This window comes from Homo sapiens, chromosome 2 (genome assembly GCF_000001405.40).
Source record: "Homo sapiens chromosome 2, GRCh38.p14 Primary Assembly".
NCBI lineage: Eukaryota > Metazoa > Chordata > Mammalia > Primates > Hominidae > Homo > Homo sapiens.
The window spans coordinates 230,401,366-230,426,301 of NC_000002.12; the positions used below are offsets into that span (position 1 = coordinate 230,401,366).

Genomic DNA, 24,936 nt, shown 5'->3' on the forward strand with positions numbered 1-24,936 from the left:
AAATGTGAGTTCCTCCTCTTGAAAGTCTATTGCTGTTCTGAGAGCTCCTTTTTTGCCAAGATTCCATACTATTATTATGTAAGTAACAACAGCAACCCATGATTACAGGCTGCCATGACATTACCTGACCCTGAAATGGGCCCTCGTGAGATTTGTGATCTTAATCCCACGGGGCAAGAGCACACGCTGTCATTAGTTGCCTTCACCTTGTTGTATTTCTGCTGGATTTTATGGGAATCCACAGAAGGTAGACACTGAACTATGCTGGTAGCTTTTCCATTGGTATATTTGTCACCAGATTAGAGAGGCGTGTCAAGGCCTGAAGGAGCCCATGTGGTTGGATAAAATCAAGAAAAGGCTGAATGAGCACGGTTACCCCCAAGTGGAGGGGTTTGTACAAGACATGCGCCTCATCTTCCAGAACCACAGGGCCTCTTACAAGGTAGGTGGCTCTTCCTGCTTCCATTTCATTTCTTTCCATCCTTCCCCTCATTTTCTGGTGCCTAGAAAAATTTAGTTTCCCTCATCCTGTAATAAGCTTGCACGAGCAAGGGTTCTGGAAGTGATTGATTGGTTTCAGTTCAGAACTTAAGCTCTTCTTAGCAAAGAAACATTGAATCAAAAGGTGTCCCTGCAACCAGAACCCCAGGTCTCTGAGAGCTCCTCCCCCACCTGCCCCAGAGGAGACAGGAGCTCAGAGAGAGCAATTGAGTCCTGCCTGCTGCAGCATATAAAGAGAAGAGAATTTCATCTTAAAGTGGTATTGTGCTTCTTATCTGCTCCCAATCCCAGAAATCCCAAACTCCAGATTCTTTGCATGTGAATAGACCATATCCCAACAAGGATTGCCAGCAAGGAGTAGAAGTGACAGAGAAAGGAACAGATCAGTGATCTTACCTTATACCCTTCCACTATCTGAATTGTTGAAAGAACCTAGATTGCTTTTCTAACCCACTGAAATAAGCAACCAAAGGCAAAAAAGTAATAATCCCAACTGTGGAAATGATTTCACTTTTCTGCCCTGTTAATAAGAAAGGATCATGCTGGTGAGAAACGGAAGTTACTCTTAGCTGCATGAGTTTTCAAGTTTAATCTGGTTAATGTTACTTAGGGTGTTTAAGATAAGAGTCCTACTTAATAATAGTGTATTTCACACTTCAACATTGTTAAGAGAGTAAATATCAAATGTTCTCACCACAAAAAATGATGGCTCTTTGAGATGATGAATATGTTAATTAGTTTGATTTAATTATTCCACATAGCAGTCATAAATCACAACACTGCTTTGTACTCCAAAATACATACCATTATAAATTGTCAACTTACAGTTTTTATTTTTTAAAGACAAGAGTCCTGATCATTCTCAGTTGAAAGGTATCTAATGACACTAATGATAAGGAACATCGTTTTTGTCTTTATTACTTTTTTCCAGTATAAGGATTTTGGCCAAATGGGACTTAGACTGGAGGCTGAATTTGAGAAGGATTTCAAGGAAGTGTTTGCTATTCAGGAAACAAATGGGAACAGTTGACTGGTTTAGTGGATGCTGAAGGCCTTCAGGAAATATGCTACTGGTTGCCACTGACTTCAAACTGAGAGCACTTGGGAAATAGCACATGCAGGGAGAGGCTTTTCTCTGAGCCTCCCTCATCTGCCCAAAAACAAATCCTCAAAAGAAATTTGATCATCATGAATCCCATCCCCAAGAATCTCATCAACCAGGGAAGAGGAACTGAGATCACAGGGAAGGAGATTGGAGGTGATACCAGCACAGACAGACTCTCACCTCTTCTCCTGAGGTCTGCTCCAGACAACATTTATTACTCACAAGACCTTTTTCCTCCGTTTTTTTTTTGAGATGGAGTCTCACACAGTCACCCGGGATTGGAATGCAATGGCGCGATCTCAGCTCACTGCAACCTCTGCCTCCCGGATTCAAGTGATTCTCCTGTCTCAGCCTCCCAAGTAGCTGGGATTACAGTGCCTGCCACCATGCCCAGCTAATTTTTTGCATTTTTAGTAGAGACGGGGTTTCACTATGTTGGCCAGGCTGGTCTCGAACTCCTGACCTCATGAGCCGCCCGCCTTGGCCTCCCAAAGTGCTGGGACGTGACAGGAGTGAGCCACCACACCTGGCCACTCGCAAGACCTTTTATCTGAAAACCAGCCAAGCTTTATTCACGACACACTTCTTCCCTTCACTCTCCCACTTCTGTGGTCAACTCCCTGCAGAACTCCCAAACTGCCGTTCTTTTCGATAGCTCACGATGGTGTATGAGTGTCAATCATCTGACCCTTCTTGGAGTCTCATATTTCGTGGAACTCCTGTGCAAACATATATTATTAAATTTTTTTTCCTCCTGTCAATCTACTTATGTCAATTTAATTCATTCGTAGCTCAGCCAAAGAACCTAGCAGGGTAGAGGGAAGCCATTTTTCCCTCCCCTGCAAAGCGGTTGGCATCCTGGCACCATCTCCTCTTCTGACCAGGTCTTTTCATCCCCAGCTGCTGAGTGGTGGCTGCTGATGCCAGCAGTCCCCAGAGTATTACCCTTCGTTAAATGGAATCAGCTTCACCTGGAAGTGACGCCCCGTGGCCTGAGGCCGGCCCCTTTGCCTCAAAGCAGGACCAAGGGTGTGGTGTGTGGCTACTCTGTGCTCCCAGGTATCAGGCTGGAGCTAGTCTCCAGCTGTGGCCACATCGTGGCTTAGCTTTTGCCCACATGATGAGCTTCCCCCACTCCCTTCTGAGCAAACCCTCACCATCAATCTCTTGCTTAATGGACTTCATCCCAGAATGTGCTTCTGGGGAATGCAACCTAAAGTAATGGCCCCAGGAAGCGAGCTCTGAGGACAGGATTCTGGAGTTGGATCACTGTCTAGCCCAGTGATGCTGGGTGGAATATGGATAGTCCCAGAAGTGCTATCACTGAGCAGTTGCCCAAATTTTCACCTGTAGTAAATTGGATGAGCTGCAGGTCAAGCTATTTTAGTACAGCTATGTACTAAAATAGCTGGTACAATTGTCTGGCATTTAAGAAGTGAGGAAAAGTAACTATAAGAAATATGGGTTTTGGTGGGTATTACTAAGTGCCATTAATGTCTTGAAAAGAGTAAATGACAGGCTTAGATCTATTCATTACCAACCTAAAGAGAAGAGACCCTCATACCTGGAGCTGGAAGGCAGACAGCAAGGAAGGTCTGGTACAGACCTGATTTTATGAATCGCAGAACTTCAGAGAACACTGAATTCTAAGCTCAGGATGGTCTCTTATGCCAAAGTCAAGGCCTTCAAACTCAGCATGGGGCTATCTAGGTAGATGTACATGAGAACTTTGAACTCCAGATGCCCCCTGAACCTACTGGGTTTGCAGAAAAGTCTTTCTGCCCCTTGTTGGAAGAGAGAGCTACCACCCCCACCCAACTCCCGATTTTTCTAGAATGAAGACTGTATAGAGACCGCTCAGGACAATGAAAGTGAACAATCATGGGGAGGGCAGCAAATGAAGAGAGCATTTATCCTCCGAAGGAGCTGTAGGACTGGCCAGCGTGCATCAGCAGGAGCAAGGAGATTGTGTCTGGGAGTGGATCCTGGTCCAGGAAGGGTGAAATGTGAAACCAGATAAGTGACGATTATTGGCAAAGGGGCAAGCTTCTCTACCACAGAGTTTAACTAGCCTGGCTTGGGCCAAAGGTGATGATTCTGATATACTCCTGGGTGGCTCCTAGAGACTAAGTATAAGCCATGGTACACATTAAATCAAGTGGAAGCAGAGATACCAGAACTACTGTGGCAGAGTCTGGAAAAGTGGGTCCCAAGGATAGAGAAGTTGGTGTGCTAGAATGACTCTGCACTCTACAACTGGAGAATCCATCCATCAGGTGACTGAGTTCCTCCAAAGGGGACACTACTAATGTGTCTCAGACACTAACTAAGGTGAGAAGGAATGCACTGTTGAGGGGGCAGCACATCCTTAAGAAGCTCAATGGTGGCTGTCCCCTGCAGGCTGGAATAATGCTAGGGATGTTTTATAGAACTGGATCCCCCAGTAGTGAGTAAAATGATAGAGTTCCAGAATAACAGGGGCCAAGTGGCAGCATTTAACTGTGAGGACAAGATAAAGTAATTTCCGTAAGGGGCATCAACGTTAGAGTGACAACTGGGAGGCCTGACCTGTAGGTGTCCATGAAGATGGCTCTTAGGACATGCTGTTCCTCTAGGCAAGACACATATTGCTTTAGACATATAATCAAAAGAGATTGAAAATAGATGAGCAGAAGGCTGAGGTCAGCTATCTAAAGGTAAAGTCTTAGACCCCTTGCCCAGCTTCCAAACCTCAGCCAGTTCTCAGTGGAATCCAGAACTCACTGATGGAAATGAGGGCAGTTTCTCATAAGGAAGAACCTTGTAAGTGTGCGCATCACTGATTCCCTCAAGTTTTCACGGGAGGGCTCTATGGCCAAATTTTTTGAGTTACTCACATGCCGGGGAAAGGAAAATACACAGATCTTTCAAGGGATGTTGAGTACAATATCACAGTTGATGCTAATCCCTGAGGACTCAAAGCCCTTTCGTAGCCCCTGTTAGAGTAGAGTACGTGGAGGTGAGGTAATGTCCATCTCACAATGGGCCCTCTGGATCCACAGGCCACCCAGCAATCATTTCCCCATTTCCTGAATGTATAATCAGGATATACATTCATACATACATCATAAAATATAGCAATTGGCTGACCTGGTTCCTTAACCTCTGGTTTCCTAACCTATGAAATAACAATGACTGTTTTAGGGAAGGCCAAGCAGAAGCCTCTGAAACTGAAGTTTCATGGTGAAAACAAGTAAGTTAAAAGCAATATCACATTCTTGGGGAATGATAGAGATTAGTGCCACCTACAAAGACATGGAGGAGGCAGGGGTTGTTACCCCAGTTACACCTCCATTTTAATTCAGCAGTCTGCCCTCTGGTATCTCCTGGTGGTTCATGCTGCTAAATGGCTCCTAAAACTTAACCAAGGAGTAGCCCCTATTACAGTTGCTGTGTCAAACGTGGTATCTTTATTATAACGGGTTAGCACAGCCTTAGCAAGTGATATGCAACTATTAATACGGAAATGCCACTTTTAAAGGATCCGGCAGGATGTAGGTTGAGAGGAAATTCACATTCTCAAGGATTGGACAAGAGTATATCTTTACAGTCTTGCTCCAGGGCAAGGTGAATCCTGCTCTGTGTTACAATATAGGCTTTCTGGACACTCTGCAATACATTACATTGGTCAACTGTATTGATGACAGTATGTTCATGAGCCTGATAAGCGAGAAATGTTGACTATTCTGAATGACTTAGTAAGTCATAAACACTGCAGATGGTGGGAGAAAAACGTTACAAAGATACAGAGATATGCCATATAGGTAAGCTTTCAGGGGTTCAATGGTCTGGAACGTGTCAGAGCATCCCCTCCAAAGCTCCAAGCTGTTGCACTTCATACCTCCTGCCACTAAGAAACCCAGAGCTTGGTGGTCCTCTCCAAGTGAGGAGAATCACCGTGGTTGACATTCTGATGAAAGTGATTCTAGGCTTTGTAATGTGGTTGTGTGTTTGGGAGGCAGGGAGTGGGGAGGCAGTGGGTATACCATCTTCATAAATAAAAATGTGCTAATCAATGTTTTTCACTTAACAATATAAGATGGACATTGTCACATCAGTAAATACAGCTCTACATCATCTGTGCCTTACCTTTCATTTATCCTCAAAACTGGATGACAGTTGGCTCTTTGATTATTTTTGGTCTGGTAAGCATAGTAATTTGTACTGAGGGGCAGCACAGACTAGCATTCAGTAGCACAGCCTCTGTAAGTGGAAGCCCAGTTCCTGCACTTCTCCACTTGCTGACGGTGTGTCCTTGGGCAACCTACTCATCCTTCCCCTGTACTGTTTCATCTGTAAAAAGGAGATACTAGTAGTAAATAGCTCACTGGATTATTGTGAGGATTAAAGAGTTAATATTTATTATGCACTTAGAAAGTGCTGGCCCTCCATGCAATACATATGTAATAAACAAGCAAACTTAAAAGATTAACATAAACACCTTTGTATCAATTCAGGCTCTTTGCTGTCAAGAAAAACCCAATATATACCCAAAAGAATAGAAATCATTCTATGATAAAGATACATGCATGTGTGTATTCATTGCAGCACTATTCACAATAGCAAAAACATTCAATCAACCCAAATGCACATCAGTGATAGACTGGATAAAGAAAATGTGGTACATATACACCATGGAATACTATACAGCCATAAAAAGAAACTAGATCATGTCCTTTGCAGGGGCATGGATGGAGCTCGAAGCCATTATCCTTAGCAAACTAATGCAGGAACAGAAAATCAAGTACCATATGTTCTCACTTGTAAGTGGGAGCTGAACAACGAGAACACATGGACATAGGGAGGGGAACAACACACTGGGGACTGTTGTTGGGGGCAGGGGAAGAGAGAGGATCAGGATAAATAGCTAATGCATGCAGGGCTTCATATCTTGGTGATGGGTTGATAGGTGGTGCAAACCACCATGGCACACATTTACCTGTGTAACAAACCTGCACGTCCTGCACATGTATCCCAGAGCTTAAAATTAAATTAAATTTAGAAAAAAAAAGAAAAGAATCCAATCACAAAAGACCACATAATTTATTATTCCATTTATATGAAATGTTTAGAATAGGTAAATCCATAGAGACAGAAAGTAGATTGATTGGTGGTTGCCTAATGCTGGGAGGTTGAGGGGAAATGGGTATGTGGTTTCTTTTTATGGTGACAAAAATGTTCTGAAATTGATTGTGGTGATGTTAAAAAGCCCTATGAACATACTACATAAATTTGAATTGTACAATTTAAATGGGTAAATCGTATGGTATGTTAATTGTATCTCAATAAAGCTGTTAAAAAAATAAAAAAGAGAGAGACCCAATTTATCTAGGGTAGACAAAAGTTACTTCGATGATGATATCACAGTGCCTCACAGAAAGGGCCGGAAGGCAGGGTTACAGAGTTGGCAAATGGCCCTGGAAAAGGGCAGGAATCAGAGCATTTCCAGGCAATCATGCAACAGGAATGACACAGCCATTCCCTAAGGATGTTAAGATTTTACTAAATGTTGTTGTTGATTTTTTTAACCTCTCACAATACTTCACTCAAAAGCTCAACTCCCCCCAAACAGCATCTGGCTGGCCTGGCCTGCTCAATGGCCAGCATTGTGATTAACAGCCCCTCACTCCTACACCCAGAAGGGAGAGCTCCTTCACCCAAAGGAACCAGGGACTGTTAGGCAAGGGGGATGGAGGAGGCTGGACAGCCAAGGAAATCACAGCTGACTGAGGAAACCCACCTGGGACACTCACAGCCTAGACCACTGCTGTCTAATGGAGGAATAGGGGCAATTCCAGGCCAGTCAGAGAGGTGGAATTGCTGGGGGATGCCAAGTTCCTTGGGTACACAGGAGCAGGTAACTGTTTCGCCATTGTCCTGTGCTGCGGAGGCAAAGACTGAGTTGGTCACTGTTCATCTGACATGAAACTACCCCTTACTACATTATATCAACACCGAGATATTTCTCTCCTGAAATATTTGTTCACATTTTCCCCTGAACCCCGTGGTGTGTGGGACTGAAAGAGTCTACACTGGTTCATACAAGGACGGCACACTCCATGGTCGTGTAGTGTGGCCCCAGGAATGTTAAGCTGGAAACTAGGGTATGGTGTGTTCAGGGAAGGGGGTGACTCCTCTGCTGAGACACTTGATTACATCTTTAACTGTGTCCTGCTGGAGCTGCTGGGAAGGTGGGTAGGACCACTTTCCATCCCCTGATCACCTCATCCTCCAGAGGGTTCATCCACAGTTGCCTGAGTCTGGATGGGGAGGAGGATGTAGGATCTCAGCCTTGAGATCTCAGGACCTTGAGTCTTGGCCATATAATGATGTAGCCACCACTTCTGGCTCTCTCTGGTGTCTGTTTTCACTCCTCTGAGTCTCACAGAATGGGATTGTGCCCATGACTGGTGCACTCTGCATGCCAGTGGATAGGTCTGCTCTTAGATGTTTTTGTAACGTCTGTGTCAGTACATGTGGCCCAGAGTGCTGTACAGGAGCTGGCTGGTGCTTTTTGTTTTGTGCTTATTCAGGAAATACAAGAAATAACTCCTGGGTTCCTGCATTGTGCCATTGTCTGAATGATAAATGGTAAATCCCGGCCCCACTTCCTCATGCACCCCCCAGTGGGGAAGCACCTAATTTCCAATTCTGGATTCTTACAAGCACAGCTCAAGACTATCATTATTGTCATCACAGCTCAGCCTGGAATCCAGGCTCTGGGATAAATGTGAGCCCCTCACTTCCATAGCTCCACATTCAATGGGCTGAACACCCTTTAGAATTATTCATGAGAGAGGGTGTGATAGACCATAGATGGTATGGGCAGAGGGGTCTCCAATTCTCTCTGGAAAGGAGAGTGTCACCTACTAGACTGAGTCCACTGGCCATTCCCAAGTGGCTAATAGCTGCAGAAATGGATCTACGTCAGGGAACACTTTATTCCCTTATACACCAAGAAAATGGATCAGTAGCAGATGAGATGAATGAGTTTCCAACTTCAATGCCATTGTTTTGGAAACCAGCAAAACTGTGCCAGTATGTTGCCCAGAAAAACATCAGACCAGAACACCCTGGAAGCCATCTGCTCCCCAAAAAACTATTCTACCTGGCAGTTTTATAGCCCACCTGCCCCTGAGAGCCTTATCCCAAGGTAAGACACAGGATATCCAGCAAAACCTGGTTCCCAGGGCCACTTCATGACCTGGCCGGACCAGGCGGTCATCCTGTGTTAGTGGGCTGGGGCCCCATAGGATGTCAACCTGTTCCCTGAGCACAGCATTTGTACCCATGAGAAACAGGTGCACCAGTTAGGAGAAATGCACAGGGCTGTCCCACCAGTTCTGGAGTCATCCTTGGCCCTGGGAAGAGCTCATTAGACTTTATTTTGGATTTCCCCTAGAGCAGATGTTATGACTGACAGTCTAACAAGACCCACCTCATCCTCAAAACAGGGTCTTCTCAGCCCTTGCTAGGCAAAGGTGCCCTGGGAGAGCCCCCCAGTGCTCTGGTCAGCTGTCTCCCACCCACATTTCCAGGAGGAGCACCTGTGGAAAGGCAGACTCCACCCCTTCCCTGCACATCTCCGCCAGACAATGGTTGGCAGATGGGCATTGGCCTTTGCTGGAACTGTACCTCCTGTCTCATAACCTGTCTCGTAACCACTAAATCTTCATGAAGCTACACTTTCCAACCCTGCGCTTCCTTTATTCTGTTCAGCAATACTGAGGAACCTGCCAGGGACCCTCCTCTTCATAGAAGCACCCACTTGCAAGCCCAAAGAAGCAGAAGCTGCTGCCCAGCAGGTGCTGGTGGAGACCATCTGGAGGGGCCACCAGGTATCTCCTTCCCTCGCCACACATGCATCACCTGGCAGTCCTAAGATCTAGGACAGTCTGCGGGCCATTCCAGCTCACCATGGTAAAAGTAATAGACATATGGAGGTTTGCAGAAACATTAGGAGTGCAGACTTGGTAAAAGGCTGCATTGTTCATTCAAGCCTTTCCTGGCTCCAGCCCCAGCCACCAGGCTCCCTCCGCTCCTGGTGGTGTTCAGCCCTGCCTCCTTGGCACCCTGAGGCTCACAAGGAGACCCCAGGCCGACCACAGCTCGAAAGACATTCCTCCTCCTTTCTGAGGGTAGGTCTGACCCCGCAGCCTTAGTTCCATGCTTGTGGAGGCATCCAACATGGAGCTGCCTGGTTCCATATGTCAGGTGACAGCCCCAAGTCTAACGGGGACCCACTGGTGAACACAGGAAGGTGCCACCAGGAATCCCCAGAATGTGAAACATAGTGAGCCTGTAGGGTCGTTCTGTTGCAGTCCAGCAGTTGGGGCTCAAAGTGAAACGAAAGGGAAGGTGAAGCCCCCTCTCCCTCACTCAGGGAGACTGGGTTTCGGGGTGGGGGGCATTGACAAACTTCTGTGCATGAAACGCACTTCTCTGAAGTCTCGTGTCTTCTAATTCACTCCATGCCACCCGTTTTTGCCGTTTGCCCACTATTTTTTAATCCTTTCAACTGCTCAGCATCGAGTCATATCAGTGTGCCCCGCAAGGACAGCAGGAGTGTCCTGCAGGGCCTTAGGGTGCGGGGCAGGCTTAAGGGCTTCAGCCTCCGGGGAGGTGCAGAAGGCAGGGCGGCTTGTGGCTCCGGACGGAATGAAACTCTTAGGGAAGAGGACAGAGACCAGGAGGAGCGAAGGGCAGAGTCCCCCGCCCCTCACGGGCTGAACAGAGGGCAGGCGGCGACCCGGTGGTGCTCGTGAGCTGCCAGAGGGCAAAATGATCTCAGAACCCAGACCTTACATGGGTTCGACTTTATTTAGAAGGAACTACGGCTCTTCTACCACACAATTCGAAGTGTTTGGTGAGCTAGAATCCCGATAAGAGGAGGATTTTCGGTTTCTGTTTCTGCCCAGCCCTGAAGAGGCTGCAGCGCTACGCGCTGCCGGGAGACTGGGCGCCGGCCGGGCGGGGGCGGAGCCCGGAGGAGCGCGGGGCGGCCGCGGGAACGGGAACGCGGGAGGCGGACACGGGGGATGGCGATCACCGACCCCTGCTCGTTGCGCGTGCTCACGGTGTGTCCGTGGCGGGCCTCGCCGGCTAGGTGGCCTCGGAAAGGAGGCATGAGGTGGCGTCCATGGGCCACCAGGACCCTGTGCTGTCCGTCAGTTACCAGGGGACAGGGATCTGCGGATGTTCATCTGCGGATACAACAGGGGCTCAGCTGAAGGACCCTGCGTGATGATGCGGACTCAGGGGTGGCCCTGGGCCAGTCGGTTTCTTCCTGGTGCTGCACAAGGACTGAGGGCGTCCTCCGGATTTCTCATGAATGGTCCCCACCTTCAGAAGGTGGCCAGAGGGACTTCCTGTGTTGTCCAATGCTCCCCTTGTCTTTCTGACTCCCTACAATCCTTCACCCATAGCCTCTTTAGGCCAGTCACTGAGGCTCTGCTGAGCAGGGGACCCTGGTGAGTGGGCCAGGGAGGATCAGACCAGCCTGGTCTCACCCAACTTCCTAAAAGCTGAAATATTGCTACCAAATGCCCGCTGAGCCCGGGGGATAATTGCATCACAATCATGCAATTGCAAGGAGCTATGACCCCAGCCTCTACCCATCTGCGGCACAGATAGAAAAGAACCTCAGAAGAGAGATGTATACCCATGTGCTTGAACCCTTTGAAATATAGGCAAAATGGAGAGACAGACGGCGATCAAAATACCAGCTTTATTCCGGATAAAAGCTGGATTGGGGATGTGGCTTAGATATGTGGCAGTAAAGGGACCCCTAACACTGAACTCCAGAATTGGGCTTATCCGCATGGCCTCAGGCTGTTCCAACTCTCCCCCACGCTATGCAGGCCCCTGTCCTTGTGCACTTGAGCTTGGAGGAGCCAACAGAGTCTTGGTCTCTGCAGGCAGGATGACTCCAGGGACACCCAGCAAAGAGCAGGCTCACTCCCACTCCCAGTCAGAGAAGCGTCCCCTAGAAGATGGGCGGGGACCGGAAGGGACCGGGCCTTGACTGATTGATGTTCCACCTCCTAGAAGGAGACAGTTCGGCAGGACTGGGTGCTCCCACTAAAGATCCCAGGCGCCTGCCCTTCACTCGTCACTTCTACGTCCCTTGGAGGGTGGCCAGGTTCTCTATTCTCATGCCCCAGTGGCACTGTTCCTGTAGCTGCCTCCTGCCCTGAAACTCTCTGGTCCATGATGCCAATGACCTCATCTCAGGTACAGACCTCTGGTTCTCACATGGGGGTCCCAGGTTGAAGAATCACCCCCCACCATGTTACCAGTAGAGGGTCTTGACTGCAAGTTGTCCAGGTTCTTGGCGTTTTGAACAAAGAATTGGACAAAGCGCACAGCAAAGCAAGAAAAGAATGAAGCAACAAAAGAACGAAAGCAGGGATTTATTGAAAATAGAAGTACACTCCACAGTGTGGGAGCAGGCCCAAGCAGTATTCAACGGTCCCGCATACAGAATCTTCTCTGGTCCAAATACCCCCTGGAGGTTTCCCATTGACCACTTGGTGCTCACCTCATGTAAATGAAGTGGCGGCCTGCAATCAGTCTGATTGGTTGAGGAAAGCAACCAACCAGAGGCTGAAGTGAAGTTACAAAGGTCACACTCCTGTGCAAACATCTCATTGGTTGCAGAAAGCAACCAATCAGAGGCTAAAGTGAAATTACAAAGTTGTACTTCTATGCAAAGGAAGACTTGGCCTGCAATCAGTCTGATTGGTTGCAGACAGCAACCCATCAGAGGCTGAAGTAAAGTTACAAAGTTACACTCCTATGCAAAAAACAACTATACACAGGTACTTTCCATTTCCCATTGCCCCACAGAAAAGGTGGGGGTTTGCAAAGGGAGTAGCCTCTGGACCTTTTGTTACTTAGGCATGGAAAGTTAGGGTTTTCCTTTCAATTTAGTTCTAGGAAGTTAGCATGAAATGGCCTTAGGTTCCCTGCCTCCAGACCCTATTCTCCTGCCTCACCCACACCACTGAAGTCTGAACTGAAGCTGCTCTTGGTGAAATGTAAGAGGCCCATCATCTGGCTGGGTGCCCTGCCTGTGGTCCTTCCTCAATCACTGCCTCCCCTGCTTTTGAGTTTTCCAGGCTCCAGTAACTGGAACTACTTCTTGACAACAGAAATATTCCCTATTGCCTGTGCTCCTTGCAGCCATGGAAAATGCCCCAGGAGTTCCATTATTTCCTTCTAAACAGTCCAGCAGGATTTTTAGCTCACATGTCTTCTTAATGTGGTCCCGTCCCTTTCCCAACCCCAGTGTGTCTGACATTGTTTTCTGGATCAGAGAAACTTTGCTTTCTTCACAGAGGCCTACAGATTCTCCATATACCAGCGGAGCATGGTGCATGCTCATCTGTCTCCAACCTCATCTGATGAGAACATCTCCTTCCCTGCTGCCAGGAGGTGCCCCAGCATGGGCATGTCTGCCCGTGAAGTTCAACCCGTAAGGAATTCCCTGCCAGCCTGTGGCTCATTGGTCTGGAATTCCAGGTGCTGCTCTTAGTAGCCCCTAAGCACATCCAGGGAAAAGCTGGCACGTTTATGTCAGTGCCACTCAATGGCCTGAGCCTGCCTGCTGCCCAGAGGCAGCGAGAGGGGAGAACGTGAACCACACCAAAGCATACTGTGTGGTCCATGCCAGGACTTCTTGGGACCAATGTGCCTCATGGAGACTGGGATCAAAGGACAGCTGTGCCCAAAAGAGGCTCAGCTTACCAGCCCTTCAGCCCCATAAAGTCGGGGAGTCATGGGGGGTAGGAAGAATGAGAGAAAGAGAGAGAGACCTACAGGTGAGAGAAAGAGAGAGAGACCTACAGGTGTGCAGTGCCTGATAGAAACAGTGACCTTCGCCCACCGGCAAAGCTGTCCTCACCAATGTCCTGGTGCCTGGTCATTCACTCATGGGGAAAAGAAGAGCAGAAGTAGAGTGAGGGTAGAAAGCCCCTTCCCCCACATTTTCAAATGTACCTGGACAAGCATCCTTATTCACAGCTGGAAGAAGTTGGATTCAGTAGAATGCCATTTGGAAAACACCGTTCTGAAGTGCCATCCCCTCTGGCCCCTGAATCCTCACCAGCTTCCACCCTCTGCTCACCTTGGGCCCTGGATTCCAGCGCCCCCAGGCTCCCAGCTGCCTCCCTGTCTCTGCCCCATGGTCCGGCCTGGAGTTCTGGTCCCTGGTTGTGTCCTGTGGCCCCATTCTCATGCGCCCTTTGCTTCTGTTTCTTTACCTATGACTTTATACTGATGTAAAGCGAGTCTTCTCGGTCGCTTCTTGTTCTCTGAGGAATGATGAATCAGAATCTAAATGGAAAATCTGGGCAGAGATAGAACCTCCCGCGGGAGCCACCCTGCCCTTCCATGTCTAGATCATCTGGGTTCCAACCTCCATCCTCCTCCAATGAGAAGCTTTTGTTCTCTCAAGATTCCAGTGACTTCTCCGAAGCTTAGGTGTCTCTTCACCCCTGGCTGTTCCAAGGCGGCCCCATAGTCAAGATTCCTTAAACCCTTGCCCCTTAAAATGTTTGCCTTTCTTACCATGCTGGCTCCAGCCTCTGGTCCCAGGGGTGTGGAGAGTTCTCTCTTACTTCTGGCTGATTTCCAGGAAGGCTAAGCACACTCTCCCCAGGTTATAATGCTGAGCATTTTGGTTCTCTCCAGCCCTGGGTCCCAATGTCAGGACCTACCTTAGTCCAGTCCATGCTCTCCCATGGGCCTGAGAGAAGATTTGAGGTTTCTGGCTTTCCCTCCAACCCTCCAACTCCCACCCCAAGCCATGTCAGCAAGGGGAAGGGGCAAACATGGAGTTTCCCCCCCAACTCCCATGTAAACTATGCCCCCTCTTAGAGGGCAGAGCAGCTAAGGACAATTTTGTTTCAAGGACATTTTTTTTGGCTGTGTATTGCACAAACAAGTGGACACCCGGGAGCTGGCCCTGCTCGTCCCCTGGGCCCTCCTTCCCTGGTCCTGCAGGTCTTGCTGCTTGTCAGGCCTCTCCTCCAACCCTCTGCCACATTTCAGAAAAGCTGAGAATCCCTTGGAGTGAAAAAGGAGGAGAAACACAGTGTCCGTAGCCCAGAAGGAGGTTAAATACTTTCACTTCTCTTTTCCCCATTTGGGCGGAGCCCTTTCTGAGTCAGTCTGTCGGCCGACTTCCTGCTTGGGGCCTGGGCAGCCACACTGCACGCAGGCTGGGCCGACTGAGGGGCTCAGAGGCCAGGCTCTGAGGCCCACGCAGGGCCTAGGGTGGGAAGATGGCAGGTGGGGGCGGCGACCTGAGCACCAGGTGAGTCTTTATCTCCCTTCCTTTAACCTTTATCTCTGGCTATATTGCAGCTTTCATGCCTTTAGTTCAGTTTGTGCCTAAGGCTTCACTTTAATCCTTCTTTGCAAGAACATAGGTATGCGATGTTATATAATGAAATGAAAGACAAGTAATGAGGAAATCAGATTTTTTAAACAGGAGCAGGACAGCTGTTGGTGTGAGTTCAACTTGCCATAACACACGTGACTTTCTTGTTTTGGATTTACTGCTCAGCTGACCGGGACACTCTAAACATAGCAGTTGTTGGTGGCTGGGATTAACTATTTCCTCATGATCTGTGAACCCTTTCACCCCTCAGCCTTCCTCTACCTTCAAATATGTCATGTCAAAAAAGGTGCTTTAGAAAATAAACACTCCAGGGTAAACACCTGGCTTACTTTTAAACATCAGACGCTGTGGTCTCACCTGTCCTGGCAAGGGGCCTCTGCCGGCTGTTCCCATGACTGGCTCAGGGTCTGAGTTCTTATTCCATCAACCTTGATCAAAAGAAGGAAAGGGAAGAAAAAGGCCCAGGGTGACAAACGGCTAAATATTTTCATTTTTACCTCAATTTCCTGTCCCAAGATGGGGGATACCTCTGACCAGAAAAGAGAAGGAAATCCTAACTTTTCTCTAGTAGTGAGTTGAGAAATAACATTACTTAATCTTTTAAATTTTTTAATACAAAAGAAATACACTGTACATTATTGTTCATAAAATTTAAAACAGTGGAGAAGTATATTAAGGAAAAAGTCATCTTTGCCACTCAGCCATTCTTGTAGCTTCTCTTCCCAGTCCTGTGAAGAGTCTTGGGCACAGCTTTTCTTATATTTTTCTATGCATTTATATATCTAATGCATTTTTTGTAAATACGTAATTTATGTTCTTGATTTATAATAAATTATATTACATGTGCTAGTCTGCATTTTGCATTTTTACTTATTTTAATAGTGGAAAACTTAGAGATCTTTTAACCTTAATACATATAGATCTGCCTCATTCTTTTTATACATGCTATTCCATAGAATTGATATATGATAATTATTTATTCTCCAATTGAAGGACATTTAGATTGTTTTTAAATTGTTCACATTTACCAATAAGCTATCATAACAATGATTATATATTTCTTTTTGGGTTTTTACATCTAAACAAATATTTATCTTGTCTCTAAACCTTAAAAATGTAATTATTGAGGCAAAGGGTCCAGTTATTTACTTGGTCCTGCCAAATTGTCTTTCTAGGAGGCTGAATGAATGTATTTCACCAGTAGCAAATGAGATGAACCATCTTCCTGCACACAGCCACGATTTGCAAAGGTGATGAATGAAGAGTTATGTCTTGTTTTAATTTGTATTTTCCTTACGATGGGAAAATTGATCAGCTTTTCATGTTTCTTGGCCATTTAAATTCCCTCTTCTATAAATTGCTTGTTTGTTTTTTGCCAATATGATTCCGTTGAGGTGTTTGTCCTTTTTTTCGTGATATGGGAGAATTCACTAAATATTCTGTAAGTATAAATATACTTTTCTTGTCCATTACCTTTGTCTATGGTGACTTTTATCTTATTAAAGCTTAAAACTTAACATATAGGCCTCTTGTGATACAGATTTTTTTAAGATAGATGCACCCTTGTTATAAACGAGGTGATGCTGACACCCTCTGTGAGCACTCTTAGTTTTTACAATTATTTCTGTGTTAAGGTGGCAGATTCGCTGCTACCGCTATTCCAGGAAGAGTTCCTCCTCTAATATCTCTGAAAATTTTTTAAATTTTTAAACAAAAATATTCTTACATTGGAGCCACTTTAGCCTTCACAGCTTTTATTTGCCCCGTTTTCATCTTTTCAGTCTTTCACTTTGTGTTCATAATAGTTGTCTCAAACTTTTCCTCCATGACAATTATTTACCTTCTAGTAGGTTTCTTGTTTCTTGTCATTTCTAATTTTTTAAAAATTGATAGTGTTTATTTTTGAGGAGGGATCTTAATTGGTTTCTGTACGCCTGCAAGCTCCATAACCTCTTGTCATTCAGTCTTCACAGTCTTGCTTTATTTAGGTTTGCCTGTGCTGTTAAGAACTTTGGGATATTCTCCTTGTTGTCTCTTAGTTATTTTTCCAGACTGATTCTGTCTGATCTTGTGTTCCACGTGCCTGTGGTGGCTTTACAGCTCCTCTAGCCAGGCTTGGCCAGGGCAGGTCACCCCAAACTTCCCGTTTGCTTAGTCATAATCTGGATGAACTTTTTTTCTTTTTTTTTTTAACATTCCCTGTTTTATCTGAGATCAAATTGTTTTTTGTCTGAGCTACAGTTTGAAGTCTTTGTTTTGATTCTTATCAATTTTTCTGAGTTCACCGTTGATTGATTAAATTATCCTTTTCCCTGCTGATTCGCAGTGCTACCCTTTTTGGGAGTATAGAGGCAGGGTGTGCTTCTGTGTTCTCTCTTCTCTCCCCTTGGCCGGTGACAGCCCCTCCTTATGCCAGTACCACGCTGCCATAGTGATGGCAGCTTCCCAGGAACTCTTGACATCTGAGGGAGCAAATCTCTTCCTCTTCCTCCAGAATGTCTTAGACTCCCAAATTTGCCTGTCAAAATCTCGAGATTTTGTGTGGAACTGCACTGGATCTATAAATCAATTTGAAGAGAATGGACATCTTTACATTCACGAGACTTCCATCTCATGAATATGGTTTATGTATATTATTACTTTAAAAATGTCTCCTATTAAAATTTGTATTTTTCTCTCTGAAGGTTTTGCCCTTCTGCTAGATTCCTTCATAGATATTTGATATTTTTATGCCATTATTAACTAAAGTAGTCCTCCCTTATCAACAGTTTTACTTTCTGAGATTTCAGTTACTTGCAGTAAAACTTGGTCCAAAAACATTAAATGCAAAATTCCAGAAAACAATTCATGAGTTTTAAGATACTTGGCGTTCTGAGGAGTGTGATGAAATCTCATGCTGTCCCTCTCCATCCTGCCCAGGATGTGAACCATCCCTTTATCCAGGGTATCCACAGTGTAGACACTACCAGCCCATGAGTCGCTGAGTAGCTGTCCTGGTGATCAGATCGACTGTCCTGGTATAACAGAGCTTGTGTTCAAGGAACCCTTATTTTAGTCAATAATGGCCCCAAAGCACAAGAAGGTTGATGCTGGCAATTCAGATATGCCAAAGAGAAGCCGTCAAGGGCTTCCTTTAGGTGAAAATGTGAAATTTCCTGAAAGAAAAAAATAATATGCTGAGGTTGTTAATATCTACAGTATGATGTTTTGAGAGACAAAAAGAGACCACATTTACATAATTTTTATTACACTACATTGTTATAGTTGATCTACTTTATTATTAGATATTGTTATTCATCTTTTATTGTGCCTAATTTATGTACAGATTGGGGAAAACATAGTATATGCAGAGTTTGGTACTATCTGCGGTTTCAAGCATCCACTGGGGTTCTTGGAAGCATCCCCTGTGGATAGAAGGGAACTAGTGTGCTAAATTTTACATATGAATTTGCGTTGGTGACCCATGATCTGATCCATGGTTCTATTTTCATTCTTGTTTCAATACTGAAATGTTTTAGTTACTATGATTTTATAGGTAGTGTTCTGTAACCTACCTTACTGGGATTGAATTGAGAGACACTAAATGAACAGATAAATTTAGGAAGAATTTATGTTTTAAAAAAATCCTGAATGGCCCCAGTGAGAAACATAGTAAATCTCTCCATTTATTCATGATTGTTTGAACTTGGGACCTTGTTGGGTCGCTTTAGTTCTAGGCATTTTAAAATTGTATTTGTAAACAGGAATTCATTTTCCTTTTACATTTTCTAGTTATTTCTTGCTGGCATAAGGGAAATCTATTCATTTTAGTTAGCTGATCTTGTGCATAGGAGTCTTACTAAGTGGTCTTCTCCCTCTTAATATTGTCTTGTGTTTTTCTGGAGAAATAATTACATCTTCAAAGATAGTAGCAGCTTTGTCTCCTCTTTTTCAGAATTTATACCTGTATACTTTTCTTTTTCTTTCTTTTTTCTTTCTCTTTTGCCTTAGCGCATTAGCCAGGACTGCCAGTGTAATACTGAATAGTAACAGTAAAAATGAACATTTTAGTTTTATTCCTGATTTCAAGGGGAATACTTATAATGTTTAAATTGAGGCTTTCTTATAGACACCTTTTTTCAAGTTAAGGACATTTCCTGCTGGCTCTGGTTTACTAAAAGTTATTTATTTTAATCAGGCCTGTGTATAGGATATTTATCAAAATGCCTACTAAAGAATCTTTGAGAATTGTATCATTTTTCTCTTTTAATCTGATTTATCCACAGTAAATTATATTGAAACATTTTATTAATTCGGTTATTAATTTCACCAAAGTAAAACATATATATATATATAGCTTAAAGTATCAGTCAATAAGACCTTTAAAAACACAAGTAGTACTTTCTGCCATCTTCCCAGCCCATGTCCAGTTTCCCTAATGGATTAACTTTTTGGCTCTTACTTTTGTATTTACTTCTGTATTTTGAAATGATGTGCTGATACAGCTCTTTGTAATTTTTCAAGTTTCAGACATTAATCTGTTCACATAATAGGACAGAAGATGAAGACTTTTTCCATAACACTCCTTTTCATTCCCTGTCCATTCTCATAATACATCACAGTTGGAGGTTCATCAGTAATCAGTGTTACCATTATGATGACTATTTACATGTTGTTCATAACCAAGTCATCTACTATATTATGATTACATTTCCTTTCCTGTGCAACATCCTCCCGCCCCTCCCCGCCGACCCCACAAATAACTATTGCCCTCTTATATATTTGCTTGGATTTTGTGTGTCCTCATTATGAATTCTTCCCAAGCACTCTGCAGAATTCTAAAATTCTTTTCAGTACAGTGAGGCACATTGGGTAATTTATCAAGTCCATTTTACTTTCTTGGGGAAACCCTCCTGGAATTATCCATTCCCCTGATTCCATCAGTTCTGGTTAGTTTCAGCTTCCAAGGCTGACCTTGAAGCTTGACATCTCTCCTGTGTTGGGTCTTGTTTTGTGGATTACATGTATACCTCTTTCTTGCTTTACTATCTCATTTTGGTTTACCACATTATCCAGTAGCCTCCTGACTAAGAGTTTATAGAAGATATACATATATATATATATATATCCTACCTTACTGGGATTCAATTGAGAGACACTATATATATATATATATAAATTGTACATGTCTGGAAAAAAAATTTTATCCTTAATCCTCACAACTGCATAAATATTTGGTAAGTATAAATGCAGAGTTTGGAAATTAATTTAGTTCACTGTCTTGCAACTTCCAGCATTGCTAATAAGAAACCTGATGCCATTCTGATTATTGATCCTGTCTTTCTATGTCACCTGTTTTGCCTGTCTGAAATTTTCTGGCTCTTCTCTTTGATCCCTTGATTCTAAAATCTCATGATGGTTTGCCTTGATGTGGGTGTTAAATTCATTTGTTGTGCTTTGCTCTCCAGGGCCCTTTCAAATGGACAACTTTATTTCAATTCTGACCATTTTGCTTGTGATATTATTTGAATAGTTTCTCCCTTCTGCTTTATCTCTCTCTTTTATCTTTTGGAATTCCTGTTAGTTGGATGTTAGCTTTCCTAGATTGATCCTCTAGAGACTCCCTGGTTTTTTTTCTTGAAAATCTTATATGTCTTCTTTTCTTGAATCTAACTTCTATGACATTTTCTGAGGAACTTCATTCCTTCTAGTGATTAAAACACTTCTGCCATTATATTTTTAATTTCCAAAAGCTCTTTTGAAAAGTTGTTTCTCTTTTATAGCATCTTGTTTCAAGAAATCCGAAATTTTCTCTCTACTAATGAGGATGAAAATTTTTTTTAAATTTTACGTTTCTTCCAAGGTTGTTTTAAGTGTTAGTTCCTTCCAGGTTTCTTTCCCAGCTCCTCCTCCATTATTTGCTTGTTCTGGAAGAATTCATCAAGTGTCCACTGGGTGTCCATTCACATTTCGGAATGAGACACTAAAAATCTGATTAGGAGCTCTGTGCAAGGAATGCCTCTCATTGACTGTGCCTCATTTTGATTTTTCATTTTCCAACTCGCCTTCTAAAGGAATGGTGCCTCTAATTCCTGACAACTTCCAGAGTTCAAAAGTGTACACTGGCTTACTCCTTGTCAGCTTCCCCTAAGCAAGTAATCAAGATTTTTGTTTTTTCATTCTGTGAAATTAGCTACCATATATGCCCCTATCTTCCAAAATGTTTGATTATCTCTTATTTGATGCCCTTTTCTATTCCCTGATCTTTGCTTCTTTTCTGCCTCTAACTCTCTCTTATAGGTGGTTTCATGGGATTTCAGAAGGAACACAGATGAATGCAGGTGTGTTCAACCTGCCAGGCTTAACCAAATGCATAGATTGGTTCTCTAATGTGACCTTTCCTGGAATCCCTGAGATAACACCTACATGGTCATGCCATATGACTCTTTCATCCACTCCTGGGTTGGATTTATTTATATTTTGTTGTGGGATTTTACCTCACGTGTTTATAAGCAACTTTGTGACCTACAATTTTCATTTCTTATTTTGTATTTGTCTAGGGTTGATAGCAGAACTATAGCAGCCTCATGAAATAACTGAGGGTGATTGAAATTTTGAATATATTTATATATATGCACATATATGTATTAGAATGATTTGTTTAATACAGACATCATCTGTTCCTTGAAAGATTGCAGAAAATTGTCCATTAAATTATTTGAAACTGATGTCTGTGTGTGTAGTTGTTAGGAGAAAGCAGATTAGTGAAGCTCTGGAAGTATATTATGCATTTCTCCTGTTATTTTTAGTTCTTATGCTGACCTTTGAGCCAGTTTTGATTGTTTATTGTCCTAAAAAGTAACTATTTCCCTAGATTCTCTTCTTATTGGGAGAAAGTTGTATAGAAATTTCTTATATAAAGTTTTAATCCTTTCCTTCTCTGAAGATGTGTCCTTTTTCCTATTCCTACCATTGTTTATTATTGTTTTTTCCTTTGTTTTCTTGATCAATCTTTCCATTTTGTTGGTCTTTTCAATGAACCACCTTTTGGTTTTATTGATCCACTACTCTTATTTTCTGTTTGAGATTTAATTAAATCTTGATTTTCTTTATTATATTTTTCTATATATTTCTTTCCTAATTCTTTACTTCTCCTTTGTTGAGGGGATTACCTTGTGTTCTGTTTCTAATACGTTGGTTTAAAACTTAATTTACTTGCAGTGTTTCTTATTTTCTAATAAATGCATTTTAGGCCATGAATGTTCATCTCTGTGCCACTTTGGAAATGTTTGGCCTTTATAACGTATAGTGTTTTCATTGGATTTTATTTCTTAGCCATTTGTTATTTTGATTTTGATTTCCTGGTTAACCTAAGAAGTGTTTGGGAGTAGCTTTTAAAATTTCTCAGTGGAACGAGTGGGGGAAGTCGTCCTCTGTCCTTTGGTTGTTTACTCTGATCCTATTACATTGTGGTTAGAAAATGTGTTCCTTAAGATTTCCATTTGTGAGAGTCAATTGTTGTTTCTTTTGTGGCCTAGTGCATAATCAGTTTTGAGGCTTCACCACATTTGAAAGGCAATATAGTGCAATGATTAAGAGTGTAGTAACTAATGCCAGATAGTAGAGAGGGTAGGAGCAGGGAGGATCAACACTAGGATGATTGGGGAAGGGTGATGTGAAGTCCAGCTCTGCCACTGCATACATGTAGAGGTGGGGCAAGCCTTGTTTCTTCCCTGTAAAATGACGGTATTAATAATGGTGCTGCCAGCAGGCTGATACAGGTTCTTGTCCTTGCCCCAGAAAAGAATTTGAAGGCCAGACCAAAGTGAAAGTACAGAAGATTGATTGCAGAGCAAAAGCAAATACACACTCAAGAGAGGATTGCAAGTATGCTCAAAAGAATGAGCCATGCCCAACCTGGCCAGAGCTCACATGCTATATGGATAAGCATAATGAAGTCATGGAATATTACATAATAAGAGGAGAGATTGGCTGGGTGCGGTGGCTCAGGCCTGTAATCCCAGTACTTTGGGAAGCTGAGGCAGGCGGATCACCTGAGGTCAGGAGTTCAAGACCAGCCTGGCCAACATGGTGAAACCACATCTCTACTGAAAAATACAAAAATTAGCTGGGCGTGGTGGCAGGCACCTGTAATCCCAGCTACTCAGGAGGCTGAGGCAGGGAGAATTGCTTGAAAACAGGAGATGAAGGTTGTAGTGAGCCGATATCGCACCACTGCACTCCAGCCTGGGCAACAGAGTGAGACTCCATCTCAAAAAAAAAAAAAAAAAGTGGGGGTGGAGCAGGGAAGGGATTTTCTGGGTAATGAGTGGGCAATTCCCAGTTGGGGTGCCAGCATTTTCTTAACTAAATATGGTTAATTTGGAACTGCTGTGGTGTCAGGTCCGTGATGGGAGTGGGAGGTTTCCCCAGGGAAGTTTTATGGTAATAGGGGCATAATGTAGCCCCTATTTGAAAACTTCAAATTTGTCGTCCTACAGAAATCATCTAAATGTGTAAAAACAATCCAGTACTTTAGGAACACAGACCATGATATAATTGCTTGAATTTAAAAGTCTCCTAAGGTTAAAATATTTAGTTGTGATTACCTTTCTTTTGGTGTTATTGAGGTATAATTGTATAAATTGAAGGTGTAAAACATGATGATTTCATATATGTTTATATTGTGAAATGATTACCACAATGAAGTTAGTTAACATATCCATCATGTCACATAGTTACCATTGCGTGTGTGTGATGAGAATATTTAAGATCTACTCTCTCAGCAAATTTCAAATATGTAATACATTATTGTTAACTATAGTTTCCATACTACACATTAAATACCCAGAACTTATCCATCTTATAACTGAAAGTCTGTGCCCTTTAACCAACATTTCCCCATTCCTCCGACTTCCAAGCTTTTGGCAACTGCTATTTGACCCTCTGTTTCTATGATTCAACTTTTTTAGATTCCTCGGTCTGAATCTAATCTACCAATGGGCTTGTCATACATGGCCTTTATGGTATATTTCATTTATACCCAATTTGTTAAATGTTTTTTATCATGAAAGGATGCTGAAGTTTTCAAATCCTTTTTCTGTGTCTATTAAAATGTTCATATGATTTTTGTCCTTCATTCTGTTAACGTTGCACAACACCATTATTGATTTACATGTTGCATCATCCTTGCATCCCAGGGATAAATCCCACTTGATCATAGTAAGTGATCATTTTAGTGTACTGTTGAATTTGGTTTGGTTTGGTAGTATTTTGTTGAGAATTGTTGCATCTATGTATATCTGGAGAAATGGCCTGTAATTTTTTTTTTCTTGTAGTATACTAATCTGGCTTAGGTATCAAGGTAATGCTCATAAAATTAGTTTGGAACTGTTCCTTGCTCTTAATTTTTTTTTTTGGAAGAGTTTTAGAAGGATTGGTATTAGTTTCTTCTTAAATGCTTGGTAGAATTCACTAGCATAGCCAACTGGTTTTTCTTTAATGGAAAGTTGTTTACTTATTCAATCTTTTTACTCATTATTGGTCTGTTCAGATTATCTGCTTTTTCAGGATTCAGTTTTGATAGATTGTGTATTTCTAGGACTTTATCTATTTTTTCTAGGCTATACAATTTGTTGATGTATAATTGTTCATAGTAATCTCACGATTCTTTGCATTATCATGTTATCAGTTGTAATGTTTCCTCTGTCATTTATAAGTTTATTTATTTGAGACTTGTCTCTTTTTTAACTTGGTTAGTTTAGTGAAAGAGTTGCTAATTTTGTTTATCTTTTCAAAGAACAAGTTCTGAGTTTTGTTGATCTTTTCTATTGTTTTCCTATTACCTATTTATTTCTGCTCTAATCTACATTATTTTCTCCCTTCTGCTGCTAACTTTGAGTTTACC

The 24,936-nt window shown here is 43.3% G+C and overlaps 2 protein-coding genes across 19 annotated transcripts in view, besides 4 other annotated features; both read left to right on the forward strand.

Annotated features, from left to right (window-relative positions):
* Window positions 1–2,367, forward strand: part of SP140L (SP140 nuclear body protein like) — a 76,540-nt gene extending 74,173 nt beyond the window's left edge. For all 13 annotated transcript variants that reach the window (NR_148198.2, XM_047446412.1, XM_047446413.1 and 10 more), the window contains 3 exons: window positions 1–78; window positions 299–442; window positions 1,433–2,367. Coding sequence is in view for 12 of the 13 variants with exons in the window: in XM_047446412.1 (XP_047302368.1) it covers window positions 1–78; window positions 299–442; window positions 1,433–1,531 (321 nt within the window). In the remaining variant the exon portion in view is untranslated. The remainder of the gene's footprint in view (window positions 79–298; window positions 443–1,432) is intronic.
* Window positions 10,391–10,480: an enhancer, noted in NCBI's record as "active region_17220". NCBI's record gives its function as "activates an Ori minimal core promoter by ATAC-STARR-seq in GM12878 lymphoblastoid cells {active_cell/tissue: GM12878}" and the evidence as "EXISTENCE:reporter gene assay evidence [ECO:0000049][PMID:35858748]".
* Window positions 10,571–10,840: a silencer, noted in NCBI's record as "silent region_12410". NCBI's record gives its function as "represses an Ori minimal core promoter by ATAC-STARR-seq in GM12878 lymphoblastoid cells {active_cell/tissue: GM12878}" and the evidence as "EXISTENCE:reporter gene assay evidence [ECO:0000049][PMID:35858748]".
* Window positions 11,141–11,190: an enhancer, noted in NCBI's record as "active region_17221". NCBI's record gives its function as "activates an Ori minimal core promoter by ATAC-STARR-seq in GM12878 lymphoblastoid cells {active_cell/tissue: GM12878}" and the evidence as "EXISTENCE:reporter gene assay evidence [ECO:0000049][PMID:35858748]".
* Window positions 14,483–15,002: an enhancer, noted in NCBI's record as "active region_17222". NCBI's record gives its function as "activates an Ori minimal core promoter by ATAC-STARR-seq in GM12878 lymphoblastoid cells {active_cell/tissue: GM12878}" and the evidence as "EXISTENCE:reporter gene assay evidence [ECO:0000049][PMID:35858748]".
* Window positions 14,836–24,936, forward strand: part of SP100 (SP100 nuclear antigen) — a 129,406-nt gene continuing 119,305 nt past the window's right edge. For 4 of the 6 annotated variants that reach the window (NM_001080391.2, NM_003113.4, NM_001206701.2 and 1 more), the window contains exons 1-2: window positions 14,836–14,963; window positions 16,226–16,300. In NM_001080391.2, coding sequence (NP_001073860.1) covers window positions 14,932–14,963; window positions 16,226–16,300 — 107 coding nt within the window. In that variant the 5' untranslated portion in view covers window positions 14,836–14,931. Of the gene's footprint in view, window positions 14,964–15,390; window positions 15,517–16,225; window positions 16,301–24,936 lie in introns of those variants that run through there. The other 2 variants (NM_001206704.2, NM_001206703.2) reach the window with 2 other exon arrangements.